A 22,166-nucleotide genomic window follows, 5' to 3' on the forward strand; every position below is an offset into this window, starting at 1 on the left:
CCATATCTTTTTTTGGGGGGACACAATTCAACCTGTAACATGTTGCTTCTTCGCCTTATCTCATCAGTGACGAACGTGCTTCCCACACCACCGTCCATTCAACCTTATAACTGTGATTAGTTACTCAGAGTGTATAATGATGATACTACCTAACATTTACACCTTGAAAGCACAACCTTATTATCCTTGTAAGAATGGCTGGGGATGGAAGCTTGTCCTGGTCTTTCACAGGTCCTAGATGGTAATGAGTCCATGTGCAATTGCCTCAGACCTGCTAGGAATGCTCGTATCAACATTCCCATTGAGTTTGTAGGATTTTCCACCCCTAATGAACAGAAGGCATAGTCAGCAATGAATTTTTCCTGTGTCTTTCCTTGGTTTCACCAGATGGGCAAACATGATGAAGCCTGGATGATTCTCAAGCAAGTCCATGACACCAACATGAGAGCTAAGGGGACCCCAGAGAAAGTGTTCACGGTGAGTGTGGGGTTGCCTGCCAATAAGAAGGGGGTTCTCCTCTTCACTGCTTTGATTTACTAAAAAGTAATTTAAGCACATAACAGGAAATTTGTCAAAAGGAGAACAAAGACTCTGATATTGCTGTTACTTTATAATAATTATTCTTCACATTTTGATGGATATCCTTTGAGGTTTTTCCTTAGGTTGCTAGTTGTTTTTAAAAATGGTGCCAGGTGCGGTGGCTCATGCCTGTAATCCCAGCACTTTGGAAGGCTGTATTAGTCCATTTTCATGCTGCTGATAAAGACATACCCGAGACTGGGAAGAAAAAGAAGTTTAATTGGACTTACAGTTCCGCATGGCTGGGGAGGCCTCAGAATCATGGCGGGAGGCGAAAGGCACTTCTTACATGGTGGTGGCAAGAGAAAATGAGGAATTTGCAAAAGCAGAAACCCCTGATAAACCCATCAGATCTCATGAGACTTATTCACTACCATGAGAACAGTATGGGTGAAACCACCCCCATGATTAAAATTATCTCCCACCATGTCCCTCCCACAACATGTGGGAATTATGGGAGTACAGTTCAAGATGAGATTTGTGTGGGAACGCAGAGCCACACCACATCAGAGGCCGAGGCTGGCAGATCACTTGAAGTCAGGGGTTCAAGACCAGCCTGGCCAACATGGCAAAACCCCATGTCTACTAAAAATACAAAAAAATCAGCTGGGCATGGTGGCGGGTACCTAAAATCCCAGCTACTCAGGAGGCTGAGGCAGGAGAATTGCTTGAACCCAGGATGCAGAGGTTGCAGTGAGCTGAGATAGTGCCACTGCACTCCAGCCTGGGCAACAGAGCAGGACTGTGTCTGAAAAAAAAAGATAACAGAAATAAACAGATTTCTCTGGGGATAAGCATATGTATGTATATTTATGTGTACATATTATTTAATAGTATAGCACTCATTATTGTTTTATATGCTGTCTCCTAGTATTCATAATCATCATTTTAATAAACAGTAATGTTACAAACATTAACATGGTTTTCCTAACATGTCTCTAATGTTAGAAGCTTGTTTATCCAGTTTTACTACCTTGTTCCTGTAAATATTAGTGCAATGAACCTTCTTGTGCACATAGTTCCTTCCCCTTCATGTCCTAGGATTGTTTTATTTCTAGGAGTAGACTCCTAGAAATAAAAGTGCTGGCTCAGAGAGCTTGGATATTTTTATAGCTCTTGAGATACATTGCCAAATCATAATACATTTCAACTGGGTTGTACCAATCTACAATGCCACAGGCAATAGAGGACCCATTTCTTTACACCCTTACCATCAGTGGCTATTAGTCTGAATTTTGTTTCTTGCCAGTTTTAAAAGCAGACAAAACAAACAAACAAAAAACCAAAACAAAATGGTAAATGGTAATTTCTATGAAGATGGCCTGATAGTTACAGAGACGCTGTCTTCCTGCCTGCCATGCTCTGACAAACCAGGAGGCTATAGGCATCTTTGTGCACCCGTTTTTATAACTTCCCCTACTTCAAATCCATTTTCTCAAGGAAACCTTCCTGGAGTAACTCCTACCTAACTTTGATTCACTGCTTTTATTTTTTAGCTTCCATAATTTCAGTCTCAAGTAAACCATTTACCCTTGTTAACCTGTTGCTTCAAACGTCTGCTTTTCAGGCAGGATCACACGGTGGCTGAGCACCTGCATCCAAAGTATCAAATCCCAGTTTTGACACTTTCTAGCTGTGTGGCCTTGGGCAAGGTACTCTCTGTGCCTCATTTTTCTCATGGAGAAAAGAGGGATAATCATATCTATATATGTGGCTATTGTAAGGATTAAGTAAAACACCAAAAAACAAAAACAAAAACAAAAACAAAAACCGGTGCCTGGCTTGGAGTAAGTGCTACACAGACGTTAACCATTATTTAAATTATTATGACATTTTTTCATAAATTAACTCAAGTTATAAATTTTATGGAAAATTCCTCAATGGGATATTTTCTCAATTCTAATGCTTCTAAAATATCTGAAATATGGGACCAATGCTTTTCCTGCCATTTTTTTAAAACTTCTATTTTAGGTTCGGGGTACATGTGCAGGTTGTTATAGAGGTGAACGTGTGTCACGGGGGTTTGTTGTACAGGTATTTTGTCACCCAGGTATTAAGCCCAGCACCCAATAGTTATCTCTTCTGCCCCCTTCCTCCTCCCACCCTCCACCCCCAAGTAGACCTCAGTGTTGGTTGTTCCCTTCTTTGTGTTCACAAGTTCTCATCATTTGGCTCCCACTTATAAGGGAGAACATGTACTGCAAACATTTATTAAGAAGCACGATGAACAGAAATGCTCCAAATGAAAGATGTTAAGGGTCACAGTGAGTCTCCCGATCTTCCATCCCCGCCGACTCTGTGATGGCCTGTAGTGCTCCCGCTGTGCTGCGGGTGTGGAAGCCACACATTGGTGAGGCTTCTGGGTGTACTTGGCTCAGTCCTGCCACCCTGCCCCTGCTGCCTCGTTCCATGGCCAGAGGAAGTCTAAGCTTCTCTCCGAGCTGCTGCTTATTTCTGGAAGATGTTTCCATGGTCTTCTGTCTCTGCCTCCAGTCTCTGACTCCACATTGGCTGGATTGGTTTTTGCACTACATCAACCTGGCCTGAAACACGGGCATACACAAGCACATCCACAAAGACACGGAGACACACATAGACATAGGCACACATACAGAGACACACAGACACAGGGACACACGGACACACATGAACACAGACACACAGACACAGAGACACACAGACACAGAGACACATGGACACACATGAACACAGACACACAGACAGAGACAAACAGACACAGGAACACACGGACACAGACACATGGACACACATGAACACAGACACACAGACACAGGAACACACGGACACACAGAGGCACACATACAGACACACATGAAGACAGACACACAGACACATTAAGACAGACACAGATGCAGAGACACACAGACACAGGAACACAAACACAGAAACACACAGACACACATTAAGACAGACACACAGACACAGGAACATACGGACACACAGGGACACACACACACAGATACACATTAAAACAGACATGTAGATGCAGAGACACACAGACACACATTAAGACAGACACACAGACACAGAGACACACACAGACACAGACACAGACACATATTAAGGCAGACACAGGAACACAAACACAGAAACACACAGACGCACATTAAGACAAACACACAGACACAGGCACACACAGACACACAGAGACACACACACAGACACACATTAAGACAGACACACAGACACAGACATCACCCATACCAAGCGTTTGGGTTGAATGGACTTCCCGAACATTTGTGAACAGAGGAATTACATCGCAGAGTGCAGCCTTCTCCTTCCTTTCTCCGTGCCCCTCCTCCCTTTCAGTCTCTCCACCTCCTTTCCTCTGCCTTCTCTCTATTCTTCTCCCTTTCGAATAAAACAGTTCCTCCTTGCTTATGCACAGTAGGTTACTAGTGTTTTAAATCTGAGAGTGTCTTTCTGGGATTTCCCCATGCCTCGAGCAGTTATTAACAGATTTATTTCAAATGCACACAGACTGTCCCAGGAGCAGTCCTGCTGGATAATTCCTTCCCACCCTGTTCTGCCTGTCTGCCCTTGCCTGTCCCAGGCACGCTGTCAGCTCCTCCCCACTTGCGTCTTACTCTAGGGTGTCTCGTACAGAAGGTTCCACGCAGTGGTGCTTAGCCAGGCGTTTCCTAACTGTTGCTTCTGGAAGGACTCCTTCTACACCAACCAAACAGGCCCCACTGGGAGCCCCATTTTTGGAGAAGTGATCCCACATTCTCTCCTGACGATGCATTCTACTGTGTGAAGAGAGAAACTCTGGCACATTAAAATTTTAGAGAGTTTATTTATGGAGACAGTGATTCATCAGTCAGGTAGCTCACACTGGAAGTGGGTCAGGGCTTTCCCTAAGGAGCACGAGGGAGAGGCTTTTATAGGTCGAACATGGAAGCAGAGCAGAGAAAGCATTTGCTGGGTTAGAGTTTGGGCCATTGCCTCATTTGGATTATTCCAGTGGGAAGTTCAAGATAATACAGCCAGTGTCCACTCAGCCAACTGGGATTGGCTGAGCTTGTTTCATTTTCTTTAAAGTTCTGAGTTAGGTTTCTGCTTGATGATGTGGGAACCCAGGGCATTAGAGCCACCTCCGTTGAGTGGCCTCCCATTTAGTTATTTTAACAGATATAACTGCCTAATGCTGAAGAATGAGATCTTAGCCAGGAAATAAATAAAAATGCCAATTTTCAGACACAAAAGCCTTTTACAACAGGATCAGAGTTCCTCATTTTCGGGGTGGGAGTGCACCCGGAGGAAGGATGTGCAGGCAGAAATCAATGTGCGGAGAGTTACAAAATGTTGGAGTTGGTCTTATCCCAGCATGCGTGCCAGTTACTAAGCTCTGAGGCATAACTTCTGCTTTTAGTTTTAACCCAACAGGAAGAAGGACTTAAAAAGGTTATGGGCTCAGTATTCTATACTGACTTGATGATTATATTAATGATGTAGAAGTAAATGGCTGGATGGGCCAGAAAAAGAAATGAAAAAAGAGAGACAACCAGAAAGTGGTAACTGACCTTAGAGAGCCAGCCTGTGGTTGGCGGTCAGGGGCGGGTACTCAGCCCAGCTTGAAGGTGTTACCTGTTTTACTCCTGTGCGTGTCCCATCAGCAGACGTGCTCATAGATGTATTCAGTGGCCTGGAGGGAGAGCTTAGGGCAGTCACACTCTTAGTTGATGCCCATGCCGTGAGCTCTAGGTTTTACCAGCCCTGTTGGCTGCCTCACAAACTCACAGTGAAACCTTTGGAAGGAGAAGGAGTTGAAGCATTCGGCTGAGAACCCACGATCTGCAGGGCTGGGGGAACACAGGCCATATTCTAATTTAGACTGAATCATAGACAATTGTTCTAATGAATCGTAAATTAGAGTGAGTAATTATGCTTCAAGTTGTCAACACACTCACTCCCTAATCCCAAAGGAAGACTGTTATTTTCCCCAAGGAGCAAAGAAAGGAAAAACTGACATTTGAGAGGATATCTTAAGGCTTTGGGGTGTGGTTTTTAAGGTGCTTCCTGAGTTGATGTTAACTTCCCCTGTAGCCTCCTTTATCTGTAGCTGGGGGTCATAACATCCATGAAGGTACTGAATAGCTTGAAGCCCAGCTGCAGCCAAGAGTTCAGCTGCAGAGCCTGCTTTGTTAGTTCTGAAGCTTCTCTGTCTGACCTCAGGCGGAAGATCATTTGCAAAGGCTGCATAGCTGGGAGTGGCCAGATGAGTCCAGGAGGCTCACAGTGTGGTCATGTCCTTGACATTTCTGGGAAGAGAGCCTATGCCTTTAGCAGATTCTCAAATTCTCCCAAAAGCTTAAGAACCACTGTTTTGGCTGGGCGCAGTGGCTCACGCCTATAATCCCAGCACTGTGGGAGGCCAAGGCAGGTGGATCACGAGGCCAGGAGATGGAGACCATCCTGGCCAACATGGTGAAACCCTGTCTCTATTAAAAAATACAAAAAATTAGCTGGGTGTGGTGGTGCAGGCATGTAGTCCCAGCTACTCGGGAGGCTGAGGCAGGAGAATCGTTTGAACCTGGGAGGCAGAGGTTGCAGTGAGCCGAGATCGTGCCACTGCACTCCAGCCTGGCAACAGAGCGAGACTGTGTCTCAAAAAACAAAACCAAACAAAAACAAACAAATAAAAAAAACAAAACCCCCCACTGTTTTTAGGGTTTAAAAAACAATAGCCAAGCTGTCTTAGACCTAGCCCTCGGGAAATGATGAGTCCGTTGTCCACTTTCCAGGGACTGCTTTCTCCCCGCGGATTGCCCAGTCGCATCTGTATTTCCCTTCTGCTGTCTCCTCATATCCTCAGTCCTTTGGCTGAAGAAAGAGATGGAGACACTCTATGGCTCGTCTTTATCCCTAGATGAAAAGTTTATTGGAGGAGGTGATGGAAACAGTTTTTGAATTTTTTTGAGTATGCTCTTTGAGAAATCGCAGACTCCTCTAGTCCTAAATCAGTTTAAATAGTTACATTAAACTACACATTGAAAACTCTGACACAAAGTGGGGTTCAAATTCTCTATATCCTATTTTTACTTTTCAGGTTTCCAACATCAAAACTCCCAAGCAAATGGATGAATTCATTGAGATCCAAAGTTCAACAGGAACCTGGTACCAGCGCTGGCTGGTCAGATTCAAGACCATTTTCAAGCAGGTATGATTGGGAACTTACTTTGGATGAGGATGCGTCTCTATGGGAGTCTCTTACCTTAGTGGATGAAAAATGCAGCTCCTGAACATCCCCACCAACCTGGGCCAGCGTGATGGAGAGGAAGCAACCCTGGAGGGGGGCGTTTGGGCTCCAGCCCACGTCTGCCTCTAGCTTGCTGTGTGCCCTGGAGCTGAAAACTCTCTAAATCTTAGTTTCTTTTCTTTGTTCTTCCTTCCCAAGGCAGGGATTTTGAATGTAGATAAAATGTCTAGTCTGAGTAAACATTATTCTCTCTAGCAAATTTTAAAATAATCACATGGAGGAAGAAGTGAGTAAAATAAATGACCCCTTGAGGCTTGTTCTTGATTTCCAAGAAACATTTTTCTAAAAGGGCAATGCCATTTCTCTGGAGCACTGGCTCCTCCAAGTAGGGAGCCAGTCAGCTATTGAGCACTGAGGCAGCCAGACAGCCAGCGTCTATTGGGACTGGTTGGCCTTCATGGTGTATGGTCAGTAAATGTTTGCAATATCCCCCTTGCCCACAGGCAGGGAGTAGAACTCAGCAGTCAAGGTTACTCAGTGCCTTGAAGTCCTAACTCAGTGTGCTTTCAATCACATTCATGGAATGCTGTGCTCCCGGGGAAAATCCTATTGGACTGTTAGAGTATGAGGCCAGCCAGTAGGAAGAGAAGAGGCTTTCCTTGTTATTTGGACAGTTTTGCTGCCTCTAGGAGACAGTGGGGTACCGGTTCTCTCCATGGGTTCCTAGGCAACTTATTAGAATATCTGAGTAATGAGCTCTTCGTGGGAGAAACAAAGTCACACATTGCTTTCTTTAACAATCCTTCTCTGGTATGGGTTGTAGGTCTGGGATAATGCCCTGTACTGTGTGATGGGGCCCTACAGAATGAATACACTGATTCTGGCCGTGGTTTGGTTTGCCATGGCATTCAGGTAAGTTCTGTCTTACTTAAATTTCGTAATTCCCTGTGCCTCAGTGGCCTCCTTTACACATTGAGGATTACAGTGAGTTCTGACTTAGAATTTGTATCAGGTAGGATGCTTTGGTGGCAAGTAGCAGAAAACCAACTCTAGTGGCTTCTACAAAGAAGAAACTTTTTTTTTTTTTTTTGAGACAGAGTCTTGCTCTGCACCCAGGCTGGAGTTCAGTGGCATGGGCTTGGCTCACTGCAGCCTGTGCCTCCTGGGTTCAAGCTATTCTCCTGCCTCAGCCTCCCCAGTTGCTGGGACTACAGATGTGTGCCACCACACCTGGATAATTTTTGTATTTTTAGTAGAGATGGGGTTTTGCCATCTTGGCCAGGATGGTCTTGAATTCCTGACCTCAAGTGATCTGCCTTCCTTGGCCTCCCAAAGTGCTGGGATTACAGGTGTGAGCCACCACATCCAGCCAGTGGGGATGTCTTTAGTGTTTCCCTATTCACTAAGATTCTGGCTGAGACATGTATATTTTACATGTTAAGGAGGTGTCCCTCAACCCCTAATCTATTGGTGTTTGTATCAGGAAAACATTTCTTTTAAATCAAATGCCTTTTCAGCATTTATGGAGGTGGTCATAGTTTTCCCCTTGTATTTATTAATATGAGGATTTATATTGTCAGATTTTCTAATAATGAACCAAATTAATGTATTTTCAATGAGTTTGATCTGCATCAAGTCAAGAGTGTAGACCCTGATCATGAAAGAATGAATCCTGTTGTTGTTGCAACCTTCTGCCTTCTCCACTCCAGTTACTATGGACTGACAGTTTGGTTTCCTGATATGATCCGCTATTTTCAAGATGAAGAATACAAGTCTAAAATGAAGGTGTTTTTTGGTGAGCATGTGTACGGCGCCACAATCAACTTCACGATGGAAAATCAGATCCACCAACATGGGAAACTTGTGAATGATAAGTAAGTGAGTGATCACGGGCTTCCCTCACATCAGGGTGACAGTCGTGGGGACTGTTATTGGGAGGGAGCCGGAGGGAAGATAAGAATCAAATATGGCCGGGAATGAGCGCCAAGGCTGGTGTCATCATCACAACCTGTCATGGCTGCCAGTGACGCCATAGCTCCCCTAGTGGCTGTGTCTGTGTTGTGCTGGCTCCCCGACACCCTAATCTCCTGGTGAGAGCTATTTCATGTGAGGATGGAGACATTTGACTGAGGACGGTCAGTTGGGCCATTTTTCCAAGTGATGTCCCATTAAGAGTGGCTGCCCAGAGAAAGGGCCTAGGGCTCTTACTGCTGAGATTCCCGAACTAGTCCAAAGCCTGGGTGTTGAGCTTTTACTTTGACCCTAGAAGCTTTTCCATGCCAGGACAAATAAAGCCCTGTTGTTATTCTTTCACCTAATATTCCTTTGGAGCGTTGATCAGTATGGTCCACAGTCAGCTAGGAGTGTTTTTTAGAGGAAAAAAAAAAAATCAGTGGAGGATTAGAAAAGTCCTGTTCACAGCTTTGTGGGGCTGCTTCCTCAATCCATTTTACTCCTCCTCCTCCTGGTTCTGGGACAAATGAGATGGGCCATCCGCCCTGTTGTGCTTTAGGAATGCCTCTTTGAAACTGTCCTCTGAAACCCTCAAGATGGATCAGGGCAGGACCTTAATCACGCTTACCCAAGCCCACATTATTCACTAAACTGAGCATTTACCCCTCTGCTGTGTCCCTTCCTGAACTGTACTTAGCAAGCTCATCAGGTTGTGAATGGTAAGTAAATGGGTGGCCATGGGCTATACAGTGGCACCTGAAATACCATGGCCCAGATAGTTCAATGTCAGTCACATTAACTGCCCCATATTTACCACTTCAATACAAAATTAACACCACGAATTCTCACCTCTGGTGAATGTTGTATCTCCCTCTGTCTGCACCCACATATGCGTCTGGTGTCTCAGTAAAGTCCCTACCTGTAGTGACTCCTGGCCACTTTAGGAAAGGAATGGCTGGGTGAAGCCCAGGAAGGATACCTCTTTCAGTTTATTCTATATTGTTCTTACAGGCTAGACTTTAGCTAAGGCTTCCTGTTATTTAAGGTGAGAAAGTGTGCAATAAAAAGGAGAATATTATTTCTACCAATATCAGACCTTTGGGAAGGAAGGTTTTGGACTAAGTATCATTGACATGGGTTCAGATTTTCAGAATTTTTAAAATGCTGAAGCCCAGTTGCAGACATCTCCATACTCATATACCCATGCATCTATACATCCCCTACAGAGACAGTTCAGAGTCATTATCCTCTGCCCAGAGTGACCACTCTAGGGATGGCAGCTTGTGGTGGTGGAAGGCAGTTCCCCCAAGATGTTTCATTGTCTGAGCTCTTTAGTATGTCAGGAGGTCTTGTGTTGACATTGCCAAGGAAGAAATATCACCCTTGCTTTATTAGGATACTTTGGAAATATTGAAAACTAAGGGACATTATGGATGACTAGATGTCACCCATGGGGTGACACCATTCCTTGCAGAGATGAATTCCCTAAAGGAGACCTCATTTCTGAAGTTCCCAATGTTTAGTGATACATTATTTTGATACAAGTAATACTAATGGTAGCAGTGACAGTGATAATAATGCCAATGATAGTCACTGTAGCAGGCAATGTTAATGAGCATTGCTGTGTGCCAGGTGCTACCTTAAGTGCCTTACGTAGATATCTCACAAAACTCCAGGGAACAAGAAATATGCTTTCTCTTTTGCAAGTGGGGAAACAGAAGCTTAGAGAGGTTAAGTATCTTGCTCAAGATCACACAGCTAATATACATAGAAATATCTATCTCCCAACCCATGCATTTGGACTCCAGATCTTGGACTCTTGACAACTACAAATATTTTCTCATTGGGAAACTCTTCATTCCTACAGAGGCGCTGTTTTACATGATACTTTCTGCATTAAAGTCAATACAACGCAGAGTCCTTGTGATTTGTAACAAGCAGGTTTTGCAGTTCTGACACTTAGCTAGGCAGAAAGTGGAGACTTTTGATCCACTCTGTCATTTTAACTTTGCTCAGCTTCTCCGGGCTTTCAGCAAACTGCTGGGTGGGAGTGAGGAGGAAACAGGGGCTGAAGAAAGCAGTGTTGAATCCTGTGGATGATGGGGGGATGGTGAATCCTGTGGATGATGGGGGGATGGTGAATCCTGTGGATGATGGGGGGACGGTGAATCCTGTGGATGATGGGCGGACGGTGAATCTTGTGGATGATGGGAGGACGGTGAGTCCTGTGGACGATGGGAGGACGGTGAGTCCTGTGGACGATGGGAGGACGGTGAGTCCTGTGGATGATGGGCGGACGGTGAGTCCTGTGGATGATGGGAGGACGGTGAGTCCTGTGGATGATCGGAGGACGGTGAGTCCTGTGGATGATGGGCAGACGGTAAGTCCTGTGGATGATGTTGTGGATGGTGAATCCTGTGGATGATGGGTGGATGGTGAATCCTGTGGATGATGGGTGGACGGTGAATCCTGTGGATGATGGTTAATGAATTTTGTGGATTCAGGACCCCCTGAGGAACATTATGGATGACTAGATGCCTCTCCCCGCCCCACGGGGTGACACCATTCCCTGCAGAGATGAATTCTTTTAAGGAGACCTCATTTCTGAAGTTCCCAGTGTTTAGCAGATATATCATTGTGATATGAGTAATAATATTGATAGTAGTGACAATGAAATTGCTAATAATGGTAACTGTAGCAGCCAGTGTTATTGCCAAGGTCTGGGAATGTATAGGTGTGCCAAGGATTGTCTTGGAGTGGATTGTCTTCACACATTTTCTACCATGTTTCTATGCTTCAAATGTACATAGATGCTTTTGTATGATTATGAAAATATAAATTTCTTCAAAAGTTGTAATGAGTTCATTGTAACTTTCATCATATGGTACATGTTTTTTAACCAACAGACACTAAACCTATACCCACTATTATTTGAAGCCCATAATTCCCCCACTCCCTCCCCAGCAACTTGCTTGAATAAAAAGGGTATTTTTCTCCTTGACTGGTTAGGAACCTTTGAAAGCGATCTAAGGAATGAAAGGAGCCTGGCTTCTTTTCTTGAGTTATGCTGCCATCTGCTGGTCGTGAGCTGGAAAACAGCTCATCTTTGAAAACCCCAACCCTCTTCTGAGCGCCTCCATGAATACACGCGTGTTCTTTGGCTTCCTTGGGGGCATTTCTTCTATCCTTACCAGTATTCCTCCTTTGACTTTATTCATACTTGGCTGATTTAAGGTTTCGATGGAAATTATTTTATTGAGTATCACGCATGGTGGAAAATTATTTTTTGTAAACAGAGCTTCACCCACGGAAGTTGTTGACAAAGGAAATTCTATTGAAACCTCAGTTTCATCCTGCAGTAAAACCAATCTCTTTGCCCCCAAGAAGAAACAAAAGTGCCAAGGTTAGTTTTGGTCTGCTCCCAAAGCATCATCTGCATCCTTCTAGTGCCTTTTTGGGGATCTGGGGGCTCTGAGTACCCATGAAGCTTTTGCTTCAAAACCTGTGAGTTTTTGGAAAGTGCAAGAAAGGCAAAAGAATAAGTTCATGTTTTAAACCCTGAGCCAAAATGTCAGGCCAGGCTTCCTTTATTGTTAGCTAAAAACAGGATAGAGTTTCTACCCAGAATATGTATTAACTAAGTAATTAATTAACAAACTTACCTTCTCTTCCTGGGAAGACATTTCTGCTTGGTAGGGCTTTCTTCTGTGAGGGTTAGGAGCAGGAGAGCATTATCTTATTTAAACCTTTCTGCACATCAGGGAGAGATGCCTGATTTCTGTCTGTGATAGGTCGTGACCCAGGAAGTAATGTCTTACTCCTGGCGGTTCCTCAAAGCTGATGCTGTGTTCTTACTCAGGTAGGAACGTGTAACTGCTCACTCAGATGATTTGCCAATGAAGGATGGGAGAAAAGCTCTCTTGAGTTTTTAGTAAAGGTCAGAGGTGAATAGCTCAGTATGAAAATGAAGTTCACAAGATTTAGCTCTAAAATGAGGCCGGTAGGATAGCAGGGGGCAGGAAGAGCAGAGAGAGGAAGAAAGCACACACACACACAATAGAACAGAGGTTGCTGTCACGCATCACACTGAAATGTTACACGCCAAGGCTCCTTTGGGGAGGGGGGATAAATGAGCATATTCGTCTTTTTTTTTTTTTTTTTTTTTTTTGATGGAGTCTCACTCTGTCTCCCAGTCTGGAGTGCATTGGCATGATCTCAGCTCACTACAGTCTCCGCCTCCCAGGTTCAAGCGATTCTCCTGTGTCAGCCTCCTGAGTAGCTGGGATTACAGGCGCGTGCCACCATGCCCGGCTAGTATTTGTACTTTTAGTAGAGATGGGGTTTTGCCATGTTTGCCAGGCTGGTCTCGAACTCCTGACCTCAAGTGATCCGCCCCCCTCGGCCTCCCAAAATGTTGGGATTACAGTCATGAGCCACCACGCCTGGCTCTAAATAAGAATATTCTTCAACTGCAGTGGGACTAAATTTCAGTAGAGTAAAGCTCCTCGAAGATGCCAGTGGTGGGCCAGGTCAATGCAGCTTCTGGTTTCTTGATCCCAGAAAGTTGCCAAGGCTGGGTTCTAGCTTTGATTGTTTAATAACAAGCTGAGCCAACCTAGGCAAATCTGTGACCTGTCTAAGCCTAGGATTCCACATCAGAATGTGATAATATTGATGTAGAATGTATATCATATTTCAGAGTTGATAACATTTCTCAGCCAAGTTCTGTAGCTTACTCCAGGTCCTGCATGGTTCTTGTGGAGCATCTTGGATAGTTTGTACTTTGGCTGCTGAAAATTGGATTCCTTTTCCCCTGTCAAACATGTGCACATGTTGTAGCAAATAAATAAGACCCCTGTTGAGTTTTGGATATTTATTTTGTCTCTGAGCTCTCTGATAGTTCTGTTTTTCTCTTGTTATATAATCCTATCATCTGCAAGTAACTAGTTCTTTGGCTCCTTTCCTCTCTTTTTTTCCATTATAAAACATTTCAAATATGCAGAGAAGAGAGAATAATATAAGCAGCCCTATTCAGAGCACCTAGCTTTATAAAATCATAAACTATGTTTACTCCAGATGTCAAAATTGATGAAGCATTACTCCTTTTGATAATATTCTTCTCCCTCGCCGGAGGTCATGATCACCATTGTCATAAGTTTGGTGCTTTACATTCACGCATTTTTTACACTTTTTGCATATACATGTGTATCATAAACATTGTACAGCAGTCTTTTGAATGTTTCAAAATTTAGATAAAACCATATTATATTACATGTATAGATATATAATTATTATAAATTATGCAACTTGTTTTTTGTGTAAAATTATGATTTTGAGAATACTCTGTTGGGGGAGAAAACTATATAACTCAATGTCATTTAATTCAAATTTTTATATGCATATTTCATAATGTATCCATCTGTTCTCCTTTTGAGGGACATTTAAGTAGTTAATAAACTTTTCTTGCTATTACAAATAAAGCTGCAAAAAGTGTTGTCAGGAAGGAATTTTTCTAGGCTATGTACCTAGAAGAGGAATTGCTGGGTGAAAGGCTGGAAACATTGTTCTCCAAAGGGATTGCATTAATTTGCACTCTCACCAGTAGTATACGGTGTATATTTAGCTTATACTGTTCTTGTTCAACTTTGGTATCATTGTTATGTCCTCTCTTTCTTTTCCTTAAAGGAAACTATATAAGATAGGGATTGTTAATTTTTTGAAGGTTTGGTAAAACCAGCCTCTATAACCAAGTGAGCCTGCCATCTATGGAGACAATACATTTAGATGACCAATTCATTTTGTAATGGTATTTGTATATTCAGGTGCGGTAGTTCTTGTTTTGAAAAATTATATTTTAAAAGTTTTACAATTTATCAGCATAAAAGTATTCATCGTCTTGTCTTAGGACATTTAAAATCTGTTGGATCTGTAATTGTAAGTCCTCCTTTTTTGTACTAATACAATTTCCATTAATATTCACTCTTCATCTCACCAGCTATTTAGAAGTGCATTTTAAGTGTCAAAATACCGTTAAATATTGATCATTTATATATACTTGTGCTATGACCGGATGATGCAGTCTGTATGATTTTTATTCTTAGAAATAAAAATGTGTTAGGACTTTGTTTTTGTTGTTGTTAGGTGTATACATATTTATAACCATTATATGTTACGGGTGAATTGAAACCTTTGTCATTATGTAATGTACCCTTAATCCCTGATAGTAGTCTTTGTTCTAAGTTTACTATCTGATATTATCTAAATCTCCAGCATCTTTCTGATCAGTGTTTGTATAACTTTTTCCATTTTTTTGCTTTCAATTTATGTATATTTTTATAATTAAGTGAATTTCTTGTAATTAATATATAGTTAGGTCTTCCTTTCTCCACCTAAACTGACTCTCTTTATTTTTAAATCCGTGTGTATAGAACATTTATACTTATTGTAATTATTTATATGGTTGAATTATAGCCTATCATCTTGCTGGCTATTTTCTATTTGTTTTGCATGTTTTTTGTTTTTTCTTTTCTCCCACCCTCTTTTAGATTATTTTCATAATTCCATTTTACGTTCACTATTGGTATATTACTTATTCCTCTTTGTAAAAAATTTAGTGGTGTCTTAGCGCTTACAATATACATCTTTAATTAATCATAATGTGCCTTCAAGTATTATTCTATTACTTCACTTTTAGTGTAAGAGCCTTACAACAGAACACTCATTTCTTCTCTCCTGTTTTATGTGATTGTTGTCATACATACTTGTTTTACATATGCTATAAACACGTGATATATTGCTACTATTTTTGCTTTACCCAGTGAACTATCTTTTAGAATGATTAAAAATAGAAGAAAAATAGGCTGGACATAGTGGCTCACAACTGTAATCCTAGCACTTTGGGAGGCCAAGGTGGGCGGAATGCCTGAGCTCAGGAGTTCGAGACCAGCTTGGGCAACATGGTAAAACCTTGTCTCTACTAAAAATACAAAAAATTAGTCAGGCATGGTGTTGCATGCCTGTGGTCCCAGCTACTTGGGAGGCTGAGGCACGAGAATTACTTGAACCTGGAAGGTGAAGGTTGCAGTGAGCTGAGATACCACCACTGCACTCCAGCCTGGGTGACAGAGTGAGACTCTGTCTCCAAAAAAAAGAGGAAAATGTACTTAACCATTTCTAGAGATCTTCATTTCTTTGTGAACATCCAAGTTTCAAATGTAGATAGGTATTATATTTCTTATGCCTGAGGAACTTCCCGTTACTATTTCTTGTAGTGAAATTATGATGGCAATACATTTTCTCAGTATTTGTTTGTCTGATGGATCTGTTTCTTCTCTTCAATTTTGAAAATATTTTTGCTGGGTATAAAATCTGGGTGGACAGTTTTTTTTTTTTTTCCAGTTAGAAATTTAAAGCTTTCACCCTATTGTCTTTTGGCTTGCATACTTTCTGATGAGAAGTCTGCTGTATTCTTATCTTTATTTATTAATTTTTTTGTATGTAACATGATTTTTTTTCTTTTGCTCCCTTCAAGATTTTCCCTTTATATTTGATATTCAGCTATTTGAATATCATGTGCTTAGGTGTACCGCCACCTCCTCATCTTCCTTCTCCTCCTTCTTCTTGGGATTTACTCTATTGAGGTTCTATAAGTTTTATGAACTTATGGTTTGATTGGTTTCATTACTTTAGGAAAATCCTTTGCCTTTGTCTTTCCAAATACTTCTTCTTTCTCTTATCTTTCTTGAATTCCAATTGCACCTATGTTAGATTGTTTGATATTTTCCCATAGCTCTTAGATGTTTTTCTCTGTTTCTTCCCTTATTTTTCTCTTTATGTTTCAATTTTGGTAATATTTTTTGAGTTATCTATAACTCCAGTAATCCTTTGTTTTTGCCATGATGAGCCTAATAATGAGTCTATCAACGACATTCTTAATATCTGTTACATTATTTAAAACAATTCTAGCGTTTCTTTCTGAATCTTATAGCTTGCATCTTTTTGCTGGAATTTCTCAACTGCTCATGCGTGTTAACCATTTTTTCCTTTAAGGCTTTAATATGTTAATAATAATTATATTAAATTCCCTGCCTGATAGTTCCAGTATTTATATTATTGTTGTTGTTATTATTATTATTATTATTATTATTATTATTTGAGACAGAGTTTTGCTCTTGTTGCCCAGACTGGAGCGCAATGGCATGATCTCAGCTCACCGCAATCTCTGCCTCCCAGTTCAAGTGATTCTGCTGCCTCAGCCTCCTGAATAAGTGGGATTACAGGCATGCAACACCACACCTGGCTAATTTTTTGTATTTTTAGTAGAGACGGGGTTTCTCCATGTTGGTCAGGCTAGTCTCAAATTCCCGACATCAGGTGATCTGCCCACCTTGGCCTCCCAACTGAGTATTATTTTTTAAGTGATTATGTCTTGATATGATGTTGTTTTACTCTTGCTTCTTTGTATGTCTTGTAATGTTGGGTTGCAAGTCAGATGTTTTGTATGACAGTAGGGACTAAAAAATGTGTACACCTCTTTTGCTAGGTTTTAACAGTATGTGGGGAGGTTAAGAAAATCTAGGCAGTAGTTGAGCTTGGTTTGGATTTTGTTTTAGCTATGGTTACCTTAGAAACTTTTTGAAACTTCCTTTTTTATTGAGGAATAATTTATGTACAGTAAATTTACCCCTTTTAGTATACAGCACTGTGAGTTTTGACAAAGGCATGCAGTCATGTAACCATCAACACAAGCAAGATACAGGACAATTCCATTACCTCCTGGATTTCCCCATGCCATTTTGTGGTCAGCCCTTTCTCCATCCCCAGTCCTTGGCAGCCAATGATCTTCTTTATGTTACTTACATGGAATTATACAATAGGAAGCCTTTTGAATTTGCTTCTTTTACTTAGCATAATGCATTTGGAATTTATCCATGTTATTGCATTTTTAGTAGTTTATTTTTATTGTGGAGTAGTATTCCATGATTTGAATGTATTACTGTATTTTGTCTATCCATTTACCTGTTGAAGGGATCTTTGAATTGTTTCCAGATTTTGGCATGGCTAAATTAGTGTTTGACTTAGGATGTTTCTAACTATATTTATATATGAATTTGTTCTACTATTTTTCTCTTGCTAATTTAATGTTTATATCCTTATTATTTCCCTTTTTGTTCTATGTTCTATGCTTCAGTTATCGTTCCTAAAGGCAGTAAATGTGCTAGGATCTTTGTAAAGGAGACAGAGTGAAGTATCGTGATTTCACCACTCAGGTATCTTTGAGTGTAAGAAAAGAAAGAGAGGGGAAGTTGGATTTTATTGCCAGACTCACTGAGGCACAAGAATGTATGTCCTTACGCTATTTGGTTGACGTTGGCACCAGGATTTCCCATCATGAACATTTTCTGATTCTTCATGAGATAATATTTCAGTATTTGAGGAAGTAAGATGGCCATCTCCTAAGTCCACTCTTTTATTTCTTTCTTGGGGCTACACACAGTAAAAGTACGCCCCGTTTATGGAACCATGCTAGAGCTGCAAAAAGAGCCATCTTCTCAACACCCCTATTTTATAGATTTTTTTAAATGCGGGCTTCGAGAGGAGAAGAAAATTGTTTGAGGGCTCCTGGTGGTTAAGTTCTGAAAGTTAGACTCTTCATTTTTTGGAGGGTGGCATCACAGGTTGGGTGAAGGCCTGACCCCTACACCTGGAGAATGTAAGAAGTTACACATCACGCCTGTAATCCCAGCACTTTGGGAGGCCGAGGCGGGTGGATCATGAGGTCAGGAGATCGAGACCATCCTGGCTAACAAGGTGAAACCCCGTCTCTACTAAAAAAATACAAAAAATTAGCCGGGCGCGGTGGCGGGTGCCTGTAGTCCCAGCTACTCGGGAGGCTGAGGCAGGAGAATGGCGTGAACCCGGGAAGCGGAGCTTGCAGTGAGCCGAGATTGCGCCACTGCAGTCCGGCCTGGGCGACAGAGCGAGACTCCGTCTCAAAAAAAAAAAAAAAAAAAAAGAAGTTACACAGATATTCAGGCAAGAATTTGTTTCCTCTTTTCTTTAAGCAAATTAGGCCCAAGTACATATTTTCTGAAGTGATCCTCTTATTTGTCTTTTGATTTACCTCAGATTAGGACCTGATCTAAGGTAATATGTGAGAAGCCGGGGTGCCTGTTCTTAAGAACTCTATTTCATTTCATGGTGGCTAGAGAGCTTATTAAAATATTTATGTGTGTGAACTTTGGGGAGCCGTAGCCTTTATTTATTTTCTCCTTAAATGACGATGTAATTTACGTGAAAGAGAATTCTCTGCTTTCAAAAAAGGCAATTGAAGAGTATATATGACATGCATCTGTGTCTGCACATGCTTTTCCCTCTGTCTGGAATACATGTCCTTATCTTTGCTTAGAGAGCTTTCACTCTTCCTTCAGGGTGAGTCACCTCATACTTTACCCAACTGGATCACAAGTGTCCCCTTAGAAGTGGTTTTATAGCATACCTCTATCTTGATAATCATCACACTAAATTTTAATGGCTGGTTTTCTTGTTTATCTCTTTAATTAGACTGAATTTCTTTAGGGTGATGCCCTCAAGCCTAACACATGTTGAATGTGACTTTGGTGTAGCTTAAATCACTTGCTGGACTAACCATTGGGCCTGAAGGCAACTGAAACAAAGTGTATGTAATGACAATTTTGTCATGGACCTTGGATTGCCAATGGCTTCTGTTGCCTTAAAGGAAAAGCTTACAAAGTACTGTTGCTAACATTTCTTTCATCTTTTGAACTCTCCTGAATCAAGAATCTTGGGTAGGCCAATTCAGTATATAGGCTGGAGATCGGAGGAGATGATTTATGTAGAGCGTCATAAAATATGTGTTGGCCCTTTCTCCTTTTATCTCTTCCCTTATAACTCTGGCTTTTTCTAACTGACTTGGAGAGACATTTTAAGGGCTGCCTGCGTCAGACCCATTTATGATTTATGGCTCTGCCTTCTCAGACACCCTGGGAAGAATATTAAAATATCACCCAAGGCTACATCAGCAGCCTATTACTATATTAGAGAGAAGGATATATTAAGAAAAGCAAAGGTCTGCAACAGTCTCCAGGAATAGCTCTCTTAAGTAAACACGTCTAGCTTATACATTTTGACATCAGAGGCATCTTCTTGTAACAAAAGACTCACCAATTAGTTTTCCCATGGAAATCTGAAGAATTTAGTGATAGCTTTTGGAGGCCCCTGTTTAAAAGTCTGTAGCAAATTTGGCCCTAAGAAAAATTTCTCAAAATAGTTTGGTTTTCTAGACCAATGATTCTCAAATTTCTTTAAGTATAATAATCTGGTCTCTGCCATTGGTGATTCTGGTTCAAGAGGTGTAGGCTGGAATTTAGGAAATGACATCTTTAATAATAACCTCAAGTTTATTCTGATGCAAGTGGTCTGGGGTCCTGCTTTTGGTGAACACTTGCCCGGGACTTCTTGTGTGGGGTCTTTTAGCAGAAGCTAATGATTGGCAGCTCTAGATTAAGGTTCTGAGCAGGACATGATAGAGCATGAAGGATAAGGGTCACTGGCCCATTGTAGGTGGTCATGGAGTGAATTATTTGGTGGCCCTTTTGAAAAGGAACAATGGCCATCAGCACCCTGTGCTATCTCTGTCATGCCGATTTCCACTGTATTGTAGTTGCCTATTTGCTTGCACTTTTTTCCAATTAGACTGGAGAGCAGGGACCATGACTTTCCTCTCTATACTCATAGCACCTAGTACCATGCTCAGTGTTTGCAGAAGACTAAATATGTAAGTGAATGAATAGAAGAATGAAAGAAAGTGTTGTAATTATTTGCAAATGAAGACATATTTAAAGGCTTCCAGCCTAAAAGTTTGACCAAGCTTGTTAAATATAGCCAACAGAGGAAGATGGTAATGTATGTGAGATACATTTTTAAATGTTGCATTGTTCTTTCCTATTAAATATGCAGGAGTTGGAGAGGTGCAGTGACTCCCACATGTGGCTGCGCCTCAGAATCGTCTAGGTGCCTTATTGTCTTTTTAACTGAGTTTTAAAAAAAAGTGAACACATAATACATACGCTTGGCATAAAGTGAAAATTAAGTGTATTATTCCTCACTTCCATTGTGCCTCCCTGGAAACAACCGTTTCTATCAGTTTCTTGTGTAGCTCTCCAGATATATTTGGAAGCATATGTATCCATGCCCTTTCTTACCTTAATGAGCCTGTCTTGTAAACTCTATGTTGCATCTTGATTTTTTAACTTAACAATATATCTTAAAGATTATTCCATATTAACACATATAGATCTACCTCATTTACTACGATGGCTACATGGTATTCCATTATATGGCATCTATTACATATGTATGTATGTAGTAATCCATTGTTGTTACAAGCAGTGTTACAATGAAGATCAGTGAATGTATCTCTTTGAATACATGGGCAAGTATGTGTAGGATAAATTCCTAGAGGTGGTATTCCTAGGTCAAAGAGAACGTGCATTTCAAATTTTGCAAAATTGCTCCCCAAAGAGGCTGCATGGATTATATTCTACCAATAGTATGAATGAAAGGCCTATTTCCCCACATCTTTGTTGGGACAATTTTTTTAAAAATGAAGATTCTCAGACCTTCACAATTCTATGGCTTCCAAAACTTCTAGGACCACTCCAGGGACCTGCATGTTTTAAAAATGTCTCAGAAAGTGAGGTGTTATTAATATTTAAATTTCACACTATTTCACATTTCTGTGATTCTGACTTAGAAGGTCCGTGGACCTGCCTTTGAAAACCAGCAGGTTGGTGCATAGCACTCCGTATGCACCTACGCTAGACACTGGCTTCCAGGTCCTGAAGCCCTTCCCCACTAATAAACAAACAGCTAAGAAGTGGGGAAGTGGTCTGGGTTGAAAATAATGCTCTGGCACCTTTTGCTTGCACATCTCCTTTTTCTGCCTTGCTGTGTTTTCCATTTTGGTCTTAAGTCTCTTTTTTTCTCAGATGAATCACTCAAGGGTCAACCTCTTCCCACAGGTTCACAAGAATGTACTTTAAACATGTACTCTTTGAGGACACATTCTTTGACGAGTGCTATTTTGAAGACGTAACATCAACAGATACCTACTTCAAAAATTGTACCATTGAATCAACCATCTTTTACAACACAGGTAGGTAAGAACATTGACAGATTGAATAGAAAGTAACAGGAGACAACTTGTGTTGTCCAAGAATCAAAATGGTCAGGCATAAACTTTAGGAGTAGGAAAGTATTCGTAGATACAAATGCCAAGCCTTGGTGGGGAAATGGATTTTAGCCCCAGGCATGGCACAAATTAGGTGCACAGCCTTTGCTAAGGCATTTAATGTATCTGCGTCTCAGTTTTATCACAAATGAAATGGAAACA

General features: G+C 41.4%; 1 protein-coding gene across 15 annotated transcripts in view; it reads left to right on the forward strand.

The window, feature by feature from the left end:
- Positions 1 to 22,166, forward strand: part of SV2B (synaptic vesicle glycoprotein 2B) — a 202,978-nt gene that overhangs the window by 160,345 nt on the left and 20,467 nt on the right. For all 15 annotated transcript variants that reach the window (NM_001323031.2, NM_014848.7, NM_001323032.3 and 12 more), the window contains 5 exons: positions 388 to 477; positions 6,650 to 6,760; positions 7,623 to 7,711; positions 8,509 to 8,673; positions 21,796 to 21,929. In NM_001323031.2, coding sequence (NP_001309960.1) covers positions 388 to 477; positions 6,650 to 6,760; positions 7,623 to 7,711; positions 8,509 to 8,673; positions 21,796 to 21,929 — 589 coding nt within the window. The remainder of the gene's footprint in view (positions 1 to 387; positions 478 to 6,649; positions 6,761 to 7,622; positions 7,712 to 8,508; positions 8,674 to 21,795; positions 21,930 to 22,166) is intronic.

This window comes from Homo sapiens, chromosome 15 (assembly GCF_000001405.40).
Source record: "Homo sapiens chromosome 15, GRCh38.p14 Primary Assembly".
NCBI classification, from domain to species: domain Eukaryota; kingdom Metazoa; phylum Chordata; class Mammalia; order Primates; family Hominidae; genus Homo; species Homo sapiens.